This window comes from Homo sapiens, chromosome X (genome assembly GCF_000001405.40).
Source record: "Homo sapiens chromosome X, GRCh38.p14 Primary Assembly".
NCBI classification, from domain to species: Eukaryota; Metazoa; Chordata; class Mammalia; order Primates; family Hominidae; genus Homo; species Homo sapiens.
The window spans coordinates 32,034,811-32,048,279 of NC_000023.11; the positions used below are offsets into that span (position 1 = coordinate 32,034,811).

The window sequence follows — 13,469 nt, forward strand, 5'->3', positions numbered from 1 at the left end:
CTATTTTCACCAATTAATTTTCATAAAAAGAAGCCTAGTAAATAGAACATAAAATAAATATTTAACATCCTTAAATACTAAAAAATTAATTATCTTCCTAAGGAACTGTGACAAAAAGAAAAATGTGATTTCTTGCTTTGTAGGTCAAAATACTTTATTTGCTACTTAAATTTTCAATTCCATTCAACAACTATTTACTGACTTGTTCTTATATGCCAGACCCTGTGTTAGAACTGTGTACACAAATTAATGTGATATTGTCCATGTTCATATCCATAGTCCAACCCATCTTAGGGAGTTTAAGAAGCACTTCATCTTAAGACTAAAGCTATTATTTTAGGTGTGTTTATAATATCTAAATCAAAATTCTGAAATACAATTATTTTGCAAAAGACGACAAAAGCATCATTTTACTCAACTGATCCTGAAGTTTTAAGGCATATTTGATTTAAAAAATTTAAAAAAGAAAGAATTGGGGTTGGGAAAGGGGAGTATAAACTGATGATATAAAAATCACTCAATTTAGACTCTAGTAAGGACACAAGAATTACCAAAACAGTTACTTCTCATTTAATCATTTTGGTTTGTTTAAACTCTTTAGTTATTTGGGAAAGAAATGTATTGAGTACCTGCTGTGTGTTAGATATGGTGCTAGGTCCTATATGTGGATGTGTGATATGACTGATCCAGTTCTTATCCTACCGTAACTTACATTCTAGTAGGCAATTGCATGAGAGTTCCTTAAGAGCTATAATAGCAGAAATACAGGCTTCTAAAAAACAGAAAGAAATACACCTTCTCCTCTACTAGAGTGTTAGAAAAACACATATAGTAATATTAAATATATACAGATACCTAATCAGACTTATTGGTTTGGACAGTGGGATAATAAGGCTAGTAATGATTTCCTGGTAGAAAAAAAATATGTAAGTCTTCAAGAGTATGGATAAGCTCAGATAAAGTAGGAATGGGAGAGATAGGCAGGGGTGGTGATGTTTAGAGCCACTGTGAATGAATTCATGTCCCAACGAAAAAAACAACAGGGAACGTTAGGATCGCTGATTCCGGGAATTGTACAGACCTTTTTCCTTGCGTAAGCTAAGTAGTTTTTAGAGTTACAAGGAAAAGAGATGTAAGAGACTGGAGGAAGAAACATTTAAGAATCTGAAAGGACTTAAGTCCATCTGGGAAGGAAAAGGGAAAGGGAGGAATGGCAAAGGTTAGGGCGAAGTGTGTTAGGGGGAGTAGACAAGTGAGAGAGTCCTTTGTGGTTAAAGAACTAGCTAATAAACTAGGTCTGAAAGTTGTTACTCTATCCCTGGAAGAACAAATAAGAATTACTGAAGGCTTTTAGGCAGAAAATGAACACATTCAGATTTTTGTTTTTTAAAAAATTACTCTAGCTTTTGTGTAGAAATAGATTGGAGAGGAGCAAGACTGAAATTCCAGAGTCTAGGGTGTAGAAATAGATTGGAGAGGAGCAAGACTGAAATTCCAGAGTCTAGGCAAGAGATAGTGTTTTGAAATCTAAGCAGGAGATCAGGGTCATCTGACTTTTGGTTTTGGGTGTAAAGATGGGGAAAATAAGACATTCTAGAGAGAAAATGTAAGAACGTATTTAACAACAAAACTTAGTGATTAATTGGAGGTATAGATGGTGTCCAGGCTTCTGCTTTATTCAACTAAGTGGATGGTGGTCATATTAAATAAATCAGGGAGCCAGGGAGGAGAAGCAGAATTTATAGATGAGGTGATGAGCTCAGGTGAGTATTTTAAGCTTGAAGCACCTGAGGGACATCTAAATAGAGATCTATTAGACATTTGTGTATTCTTGTAGCTTCCTCAGAAAAATGATTTGGGCTGGAATTATAGCTTAAGGGTCATCAACATAAGAATGGTAATTGCGTTCAAAGACAAGATTACCCACATAATGTCAAGTAAGAGGAAAAGAGGTCCTAGATCAAAACTATGAAGGATGTCGTCAATACTTAATGGAAGGGCAGATGAGGAATTCACAAAGGAGTTAAGAGTGTAGAGTCATATAAGCAAGGAACAGAGTGTTTTAAGCAGAACAGAGTTGACAGTGGTCCATAATAAGGTGAACTAGGATAAAGACTGTAGAGGACCCACCAAATTTAGCAACATGAGGACCATCAGTGTCCTTGATGAGAGTACCTCCCATGAGCCTTTGCTGCTAGAAGTCAATGTGCAGTGTGTTAAAGCAGGGCTGGCAACATGATGTGGAGACAACAAATATAGATAGGTTGTTTATGATAGAGGGTTATCTGTAAAGGAAAGTCAAGAGGGAAATAACCAGTGTAGCACATAGACTTCAAGGGTTGTTTTAATGATTAAACAAAAATACTAGAGAATGTTCAAATGCTCATAGAATATGGGATCAATCTCTTTCTCAAAATACTGATAGGATGATGTGAAAAATCATGTCTTCATGAGCAAGCAATGTGGAGGCAGTATATTCCCACAGAACATATTCATGGAAGTGTTAACACAAAATATTTTACCAAGTAATGACCATCTCTAAAATCACATTTGTAAAAACTAGCGTGCTTTATTAAATCTTCATGGGCAAGATTAACTGATAGACACAGAGCATTTATTTGTTCAAATGTTGAGAATTACAAATTGAGGAATAATTATTTCTAATGATAGATTCTTAAAACTCTTATTATTAAAGATATAATACACTAAAACAATAATTTTCAGTTATAGCCTCCTTCCATTGATTCAAACGAAAGACACACAAAGTGTAACCGTGCATAAATACTGTCAAGCTTTGAGGAATATCGATTTCTGGAAATCCTCCGTTTTATTGGTACCGAGATTTTCCACAGAAACTCACTAAGCACCACTTTTTGTAACTATCCCATGATACTCATTATACGTGCCATGCACACGGTCAATTTCTAGTAAATTAGAAAGTAACTAGCATAATCCTATTATTTATTTAATTTCAATGATGTTATCATTGAATCTCCAGTATTCTAGAAATTCTTTGTTTCCAGTGTATATTCATATATGGAATAAACCACTATTTATTTTAAATTATAGCAATTTTAGAAATAACCTCATTATTCCAATTTTTCATGTTCTGCAGACATCTCACAACTGAACTTCCCAGGCTACAACTTTAATGTGGCAAACACATAACCAAACCAAAGTAGAACTGACCGGACTGTGGCAGAGCACATGGTCATTTGTTCAATCACTTGGTCATTCAACAAACGTCTTCTAATCAGCTAGAATATGTGCCAAGGTCTGGCCTTAACATAAGAGATACAAAGAGGAATAAACTGTAAATAGTCATTGCTCTCTAGGGCAAATCTAGGGAGGAATTCAGACAAAAATAAATCCTCATATAATAATAGTAGAAAACTCAAAAGGGACATTAAGACGGATCTATCGACTGCCTTAAGCCATGATGTTGGACTAGGGAGATTATACACTAGGTTCGTCTGGGAAAGGTCTGGTGTACAGCTTTGTCCCGTGACCTTTCCTACACTTTTTATTCTCAAAATAAATACATTAGCAATGATCTTGTAAGGTGAAACAAAAGTCCATCAGGAAAACAGGAGTTGGCGGGTGGGAAATGGTACCTTATGAAGAGAACAAAGGAAACAATAGCATGGGATATCAGAGAAACTCTAGCAACACAGTATAGCTGGGGTGAAGAGTATCTCTGGGCGAGGTCATCAGGGACAAAGTCAATTAGAGGGATAGACAGAGTTCCAAGTGTCAGGGACCTTGTTGGTCAGACTAAGCAATCTGAACTATTTGGAAAGCAAACAAGGTAACCCTGGAGGATTCCTGAATTTCAATCTAGAATCACACACTATACTTTTTTTTTTTTCAATTTTGCATGACGACTTCAGGGAAACATGCCAATGAAAAAATCAAGTTAAATCATTACATTAATAAATTTACTTAGTCTAGGATTTGGAATATTTATTGCAAGTCAAACTAACCTGTTAGTCATTGCATATAAACAGGTTGGCTAAAATCAAATTTTAAAATGTAGATATCAATAGGTAGTCTCTGCTCTCAAAGGGCTTACAATTTCCCTGTAATCGTGTCACTTGGATCAGCTTACACAGATTATAATCAGAAGCAGAGACAGCAGAGATAACTCCTGAATAGAGAAACTAGGTTAAGAATAATGGGCATAGATATGTCTGTGTGTGTATGTGTGTGTTTTAGATAAGTTACTGATCTTCTCTGAGCCTAAGTTTTCTCAGATGAAAATGAGAACCATGAAGCCTTCCTTACAGGGTGAATAATGGCAATCCAATGTAAAGGAGGGGGGGATATTTATTCCAGGAAAAACGAACAAGAGAAGTAGAAACAACACATACAGTGCTTGCAAAGTGTATAATAGGCCTTCAAGAAATGAGAATTATTATGCTATGTCACAGTCTGATCTCATTAGATACTCTCAATGGCCTCATGAGAAGGATGAGAAAGGAATACATTTCTCCCATTTTACAGGCGAGGGCACAAAGAGAACAAAAAATCAATTATTTGCTTCAAATTATACAGCTATTTATTGGAAACACTTGGGCTCAAAAATATCCCGTTTCCAAGTCTTTACCCTTTCTAAAATGCACACTGTCCGTGAAACATGCCAAATTGATTTTATCATCACTAAGATGAACTTATCCATAGATCCTTGTGCCCCCAAATCTCACTGTCTCAGTTCTTGGGTGCCTCAAGTCCAAGTTCCCAGGGCATCTGTCTATGAGTAGGATATTCACAGTGAGTAAAAAGGTAATGCCATAAAAATCTAGGTGTGGGTTAGTAGAATCCAAATAAACGATATAGAACATCACAACTCATATTCAAATATGTTAACTAAAGTAATGATTTCCTATTACTTAGAGTGAGGGTCTCAAAATGTTCCTGAAATAGATCTCAAAATGTATTCCCTCTGTCTAGTTGAAACTTTGTAATCTTTGAACAGTAACTCTCTATTCCCTCACTCCACCTCCCAAGCCTCTGTTAACCATGATTCTACTCTACATCTCTATGAATTCAACTTTTCTTACATTGCACATTTAAGTGACATCATGTGGTATTTGTCTTTCTGTGCCTGGGGGAAAAATGTTCATGTACCTCAGAAGTAAACACATTTTAAGCATGTACCCTATATAAATATATATTCACAGACATATGTAATTTTAAATTACATTGACACTAGTTTTGTAGACACAACTTACACATCACATACACTATAAAATATACAATCAAAATATTAATTTCTAGAGAACAAGATAAATAAAAAGTATTTTTTCTCACTACCCCAACTGTTTAGCACGCATATTATTGGGCATGTACATTCCACTTTGGTAACAACTGACCTAGATAATCAAATTCAAGGTCGTTGGAGTGACAAAATCCTTCATAACTTCACTGGTGTGTGTGTGTAAGCGTGTGTGTGTATATGTGTGTGTGCTTACAATCCCCACTAGATTTTAAACTCAAAAGAGAACCAACAATGCCTTCATATTTTTTCTTCTCTCTCTTCAATCTGTGTTCCCTGAGATCCTTTTCTATTTGGTTCACTGGCCCTTTAACCCCAAAGCAGTTTCCACTCTGTGGAAGAAGGAAATAGTTTCATTATATTTTGGCTCTGGGTTGTTTCTTCATTTAAAACCGTAGCTAAAGTCCAGACCAGAGAATGATTTGAAAACCATACCTTAAGAATGAGTTTTTCCTAGTACAGTAGACATAAGAACTCTCTGGATGGGGGGGAGTCAAAAAGAAAGTTGGGGAGGAAGCAAGAAAATTAGATGCTTGTAGGTTTCCGAAGAGGGGGCCTGATGTGGCAGTATTTCATCAGCAAGAAGGGCAAAGGCAGATTCACTAAATTTCTTGAGGCCTCAGAGTGCAGCCAGCAAGTGGCTACATTTTTCCTGTCCCTGAAAAGAGTGTGGGAGTTGACTGAGGAAAAGAGTTGGTCATAGCAAGAGATGCTTAACTGAAAAGCTGCATGGGCCATGCAGTGTTAAACTCAAGAAATTGAGGCCTTGAGAAGGGGACCCATGGGCAGATGCTCAAGAGTAAAGACATTCAGAACCAAGGTGCAGACAAAACCGTGCATCCATAAGATAACAATGTATACAGACACATCCCCTGAAGGCCATACGTGCTTCATGAACACTTGGGAACTGGGATGCCTACACAGAAAGAAGATGGGGAGGAACAATCCTAAATGGAAACCAATGAAGAAAACCTGAAATCAATATGGTTATGTTTTCTGTCTTCAAGTAGAAAGGGGTCATGTCCATCCATTCAAAAGAATGGCTAAGATGAGATTAATCTTGCATTTCCCGGATGCATTTTCCCCAAGTTGGAGTGTAAGCCAGCTCTTTGGAGCTTTAGAACTAAGCATCATCTCTTCTTCCTTGCTGACATATGTTCTATTGAACATCTTTTCTCAAAATAGACCTGTTTCGCCCACATTGAAAATCTGTCAAGGCAGGTCTCTCCCCCCTTCCTGGTGATCTCCACAAGTGTTGGAAGGGATGTCCTGGCAGTCGTGGACCTGCCCACTTACTGCCAGGTGGTGCCGATTCAACTGGGCGCAGAGCCCATATGGCATCTGTGGCTTGAGACATAAGTATCATCAGCCACAGTATTCCCCAAATTCTTAAAAACCTTCTGCTTTCTGAGTTAACATTGGGCTTATTGTCATCTAGTACTGTTGCTTTTATTCTAGCTGTATACTCATATGTTTGAGTGTTTTGTTTACTGATACTTCCTCAGTTTTTGTTTCTTTCCTGTACATCACTGTAACAGCAGCACATTCTCCACACATTGAAAGACTCATTGTCTGTCCTTGAGCATCATCTCTACTGTCAAATGATAGCCCTCGTACATGCATCCACTACATTCATCATTGTCTCACTATTTATGTTTTGTAACTCTCATTATTATTATAGGTCTTCAGTTTCTAACACTTTCAAATTAGCACTGTCGTTGAATTAGGCATAATTAGATTTAAAATTTTGCTAAAGTACTCCACAACTAAGGAAGAACAGGGCTCCAAGTGGTTAACATTAACTTTGGTGGGGGTATGATAGGAGAGTGTTGACGAACCTGTACTTGGAGCTAGTTTTATTTCTATTTAGGCTATTACTCTCTCTTTCTCCATGCTTCCCTCCCTCTCTCCCTTCCTCCCTCTCTCTCTCTCTCTCTGTTCATATATATATATATATATATATATATATATATATATATATGTACACATATATACACACACACATATGTATACATATATACATACATATACACACATATGTATACATATATACATACATATATACATACATATACACACATATGTATACATATATACATACATATACACACACACACACATACACATACACACACATATATGTGCAATAAAGAACTGCCTGAGACTGGGTAATTTATAAAGGAAAGGGATTTAATTGACTCATAGTTCAGCATGGCTGGGGAGACCTCAGGAAACTTACAATCATAGTAGAAGGTGAAGGGCATAGTAGAAAGGGCATAGTAGAAAGCAAGGCACCTCCTTTACAAGGTGGCAAGAAGGAGAATGAGTGAGGAGGGAAGGGGGAAGAGCCCTTTATAAAACCATCTGATCTCATGATTCACTATCAGGAGAACAGCATGGGCAAAACCACCCTCAAGATCCAATTGCCTCCACCTGGTCTCTCCCTTGACACACGGGGATTATAATTCAAAATGAGATTTGAGTGGGGACAGAAAGCCTAACCATATCAATGTGTGTGTATAATTTATTTCTGGTAGATGAACATGTTCATCAAAATCAACTATATAATCACAATATTAACTGAAATATCTGACTTTTAAGAACTTTAAATATTTTAGAGGTTGCCTACGGCTGTACAAGTAAATAAATTGATAGAGCACATTCTTTTAAATATAAAATGAGAGGAAATAGTCTTAATTAGATTACTACATTTTCCCCATGGATGTGTCATAGTACATTCTAGAGGAAAAAAGTAATTGATTATATGAAGATTAGAATAGGTATATTTAACAAGCAGGTAGTGTTTGTGGAAATGTTCTAAGATGTTAGAAAAATAAGAATAAGATCTACTGTTTCATAGCACAATAGGGTTGCTATAGTCAGTAATAACTTAATGGTACATTTTAAAATAACTAACAGAGTATAATTAGAATGTTTGTAATACAAAGCACAAATGCTTGAAGGGATAGATAACCCATTCTCCATGATGTGACTATTTCATATTGAATGCTTGTGTTAAAACCTCTCTTGTACCCCATCAATATATACACCTTCCTCATGTACCCCGTTGACATATACACCTACCATGTACTCACAAAGATAAAAAACCCATTGAAAGAAAAAACTTAAAAGAAAAATGGAAATGCTCTAAGAGATGACGACAGGTAATATACGTCTTAGTGCATTTATGTATGTGTTTATTTTTGCAAGAGATAGACATAACTGTCAGCCCCTGGACACAGCTCAGTGGATAGTGACTTTTGCTAACACTTAATGGATTCCATATGTTCAATAAAAAATCATTATGAGAAAGTTCACTGAACCTTTTATACAAACTAACCATGCAAAGCTCAATTCAAAAAGGCACCTAGGAAGTGAATGCAATACTTGCATATTTCCTTTGACATGAATAAATACAAAGGCATTTTATTTTAATTGAGTTAAAGCATAATAGTTTCTCTTGCATAAATAATTAAAATAGAAAGAAAAATAGCATATAAGGAGACTTACTGATATCAGGCACTGTCCTAAGTATATTATATACACTGAAATATCTATCAAAACAAGCCTATGAGAGACGATTATTAGATCAATTTGAGAGAAAAATTAACTGAGGCTTACGTAGGTTAACTCCCATAGGTTATACTAATAGTGATGCAATAAACCAGGAGTTTCACCTAGGCAGTATGCCCAAAGCCCATGTATTTTAATCATTATAATCAGACTCCTACATTACATACCACTGATTTTAATTTGGAAAGATAATTTTTTTCTAGAAATGTTTCTCAATAGTATTTTGTTCTAATACAAATGTGAACACCTTTAAAATCCTAAAAGTGTTAAACAAGTTGGGGGGTAATAATCTGACATTCTCCCAGGTAAGGGGATTTCGAATAAGGTCTTCCTATGGCATGGCAACATTAAAGTCCTCACTAAGCAACATGTTATTTAACTTCATGACACTGGGAAGAGAGTATTTGCCAGCTTTAGAAAGCAAATGTTAAGAATCTAAACATTATCAAGGGGACTATTTTGCTTAATTTTGAGCTTTCAACACTAAAGAAGTATATAAAGGAACATGGGTATACTTCAATGATTATGTAAGGGTCCAGGCTAATCAAATCATCACTGAGGTGGCTATTACACACACCAAACATATAATCAGAAAATTGTGGCTCATGAGAAGTTTAACTTAAGCCCTTCCTATTCAATAGGGGATGTCTTAGGACCAGGATGTTTGATGATATCCCTGAAATCACAATGCCTATTAATGTTAACAGCCTATTAAAAAAAAAACCTACACATATCCTTTTATCGTTATTATTTATTTATTTATTTATTTAATTTTTTTTTTGAGATGAAGTCTCGCTCTGTCGCCCAGGTTGGAGTGCAGTGGCACGATCTCGGCTCACTGCAAGCTCTGCATCCCAGGTTCACGCCATTCTCCTGCCTCAGCCTCCCAAGTAGCTGAGACTACAGGTGCCTGCCACCATGCCCAGCTAATTTTTTTGTATTTTTAGTAGAGACGGGGTTTCACTGTGTTAGCCAGGATGGTCTCGATCTCCTGACATCATGATCCGCCCGCCTTGGCCTCCCAAAGTGCTGGGATTACAGGCGTGAGCCTCCGCACCCAGCCTATATCATTGTTATTACTATCGTTATTACTACTATTATTCCAATGTTAATATGGTGCCCACTGTTTTAAAGTAGAAATGCTATTATTTAATCTTCTTGTGTTCGTATTCAATAAAGAAAAATATAAGTATTATGACAAGGCAGTGATTTGGACAGGATGTTTCGAATGCAGGCATGTTGACATATAACTGGACATGAGCCCTGATATAGTTTGGATATTTGCCGCCACTCAAATCTCAAGTGGAAATATAATTCCCAATGTTGGTGGTGGGGCCTGGCGGGAGGTTTTTGGGTCATGGGGACAGATCCCTCATGGTTTTGTATTGTCCTCAGTGTAGTGAGTGAGTTTTCATGAGATCTGGTTTTTTTTTAAAGTGTGTGGGCATCACCTTCTGCCATGAGCAAAAACTCCCTGAGGCCTCCCCAGGAGCCAAGCAAATGCCTGTGCCACACTTCCTGTACAGCCTGCAGAACCATCAGCCAATTAAACTTTTTTTCTTGTTGAAATATAATGCCAAGTGTTGGACTTGGGGCCTGGTGTGAGATGTTTGAGTCACGGAGGTGGATCCCTCACAGCTTGATGCTGTCCTCATGATAGCAGCTGAGTTCTTGAGCGATCTGTTTTGTTTTTTTTTTTTTTAAATGTGTGGCAACCTCCCCCTGGCTTCTGCTCTGGCCATGTGACATGCTTACTCCTGTTTCATCTTCCACTATGAGTAAAAGCTCCCGGAGGCCTCCCCAGAAGCTGAGTAGATGCTGGTGTCCTGCTTCCTGTACAACCTGCAGAATCATGAATCGATTAAAGCTCTTTTTAAAAATACATTACCCAGTCTCGGCTATTTCTTCATAGCAATACATGCTAACACAGACCCACCCTCCCCGTCTGTCCTTGATACTCTTGTTTTTCTGCCGATTTTATTCCTATTGTATCTACTCTTTGTTTGATGTTAAGAAAATGATCTTTGCTTCAAAAATTCAAATTATAATCCTGCAAGCTCTTTGATATAAGTGTTCAATTTAAATTAAAAAGGCAAAACCAAAATAAGACTAAGCATAAGAAAATAATACACTTTCCCTTAGTTACCAGAGTGATATATTTGAACATTTTAAATGCTTTCAAAAAATCAAATTTCTAAACTGTTACCTCTACTTAATCCCACAGAGGTGATAAAATTATTGGCAATTGATGATCATGTGGATAAATTGACTGACAATTTCATTCATTTATTCATTAATAGCTCCTCATTGATGTATGTATCCCAAATGTCTCCTTTCCTTCTCTCAAAGGGGCAAGCAAAGGAAATGGAAACTGTAACAGTAAAAGCCATATACTCTAAGGTGGACATTAGAAAGTCTCTTGGTCTACAGGTCGTTTTTAATCCTAAAGACAGAATAATCTACCTATATAGAAATCATTAAACAAATAGAAATTTTGCCTTATAAATAGTAGGAAAATACATACCTACATTTATGGCCTGAAAACCAGCATCAGCTATGTTATAGTTGTCCACATAGAACTAATATAATGTACTGGGTAGAAAGTGACCATTTTTCTCCATTTTGACCCTTGTCATCACTGGAAGAACATGGATTCCATTAAGGTTCCCACATTCATTACCCTTCTCCTCACACAGAAATGCAAACATTGAAAAGTTTCTTCGTGGAGAGTTCTATTTTGTTTTGTTCTTTTTGCATTAAAAGTTCAATACTATTTATTCAAGTTTATCAAGCTGAATGAACAAATGGCCTATTATAATTGCATTTCATATTTTGGGCCCTTAAATTTCGAAATCTACGTTTCCAAAGAGAAAGTTAAAAACAGGGGAAAATGCTGCTAAATTATTTGATGAGCTTCATATTTGTGATGCTCTCATTTTAGTTACATTAAGGCAAAAAGCCAAAATAAAATCCCAAGGCTTGGAGTTTGAAACAAGTGGTGAAAGGGAAGGGAGCATTGATAAGAGAGGCAGGAAAGATAGATTTAATGGCATTTTTTTTGTTTTAAATAATGCTTAAGAAGAAAAATTATGTTTATTACACTCAGTTTATTTCCCTGTGGAAGAACAACCTTTTCCTCTCCTCAGTCTGGAACTCATACTCTTTGCCACATGACCTGTGGGAAATTGACTTGAACAGATGTTTTGGTTTCACATTAAATCTACAAATTATTTTGCGTAATTCCCTAGTGCCCATCTACTATAATTTTTATGATGTCTCTACTCTTTGTTTTTTACATACTATGACAAAAGAGTCATAAGACATAGTGCCTAGTCAGTAATTGGCTCACTGAAATGCTTAGAGTTTATATATTTGTAAGACCACACAAAATTTCAAGCAGGAACCTTTCAGTTATCACAATCTTTATTAATACTCTCTTGAAATTGACACTTTTTAGGCTTCATATGCCAAAAAACATGAGAGTAATAATTGACCTTATGCTTTAGGACATGTTTCTTCTTAAATACTTCTTATTTTAATATTAGTAACAATTCTACTACTAATAATATCTATGGTTCATTGAATGCTAGTCTACATAGGTGCATAGATACCTGGATATAGATGATAAATAGATGACAGAGAAAGAGAAAGATAGAAACAGAGAAATATTTTTACTTTGAATGAAATACATTATCTCTCCCATCCTAATAACCACCTTCCAAGATAAGTTCACATCTTATTATTAGAGATGAGAAGATTTAGTTTTAACAATAGTGTTTGACTGAACTTGAAATACACAGGTGTGTAAATATTAAAACATTAAAACATTCCTAAAATCTTTGCAGATAATTAGAAAGAGTCTAGCAAACATTATCTGTAATAAAAACATATATATTTAATTTGGAATGTGCTTTAATTTTGTGGTATTTTGTGACCACTCTGTTCCTTGTCCCTTGCCTGTGATTAGTGAATATAGAGTGTTCATTTATTGACACTTTTATCCACTATCTCTGGAGGACAAATGTGAAGTAGTTGCCAAGACTCTACTTTAGGCAGTTTCACATATCATTAAAACAAAAATTTACAGATTATGTATTTCCATGAAATATGACAATAACAAATTGGAAGGCTGAGGGCTAATTTTACACATAATTTTGCAAATCTGTTTGTTAAGAATGAGTATGCAATTCATACATTGACATTCTGGTAGTTCATCAGTTTATAAAACTAGTGAAATGGAAGAATGCATTGAAATTTAATTGTTGGTATCTTCACACTTTTGCTGACTATATTAAAACAGATACATTGAACTGAGTGGTCCCGCCTCCTAATAATTTATAACATCTTCAGTTTCTGCCACTAATATTTATCATTATCTTATGAACAGGTCTGTGCATTGAAATAATAATAAAAACGATAAGGAAATAAATAGACATAACTATTATTTATTCAGTGTATTATTAAGTGTATGATATAATGCCAGGCATCCTAGATATATCATCTCATTTACTCCTCACAATGAACCTATTAAGTAGATGTCCTTGTGCCTATTTTAAAAATGAGGAAGATAAAACGTACAGAAATTTAACATTTTGCCCAAGATTGCAAAGCAAACTAAATG

General features: G+C 35.8%; 1 protein-coding gene across 20 annotated transcripts in view; it reads right to left on the reverse strand.

The window, feature by feature from the left end:
- DMD (dystrophin) overlaps positions 1-13,469 on the reverse strand; it is a 2,220,167-nt gene that overhangs the window by 915,589 nt on the left and 1,291,109 nt on the right.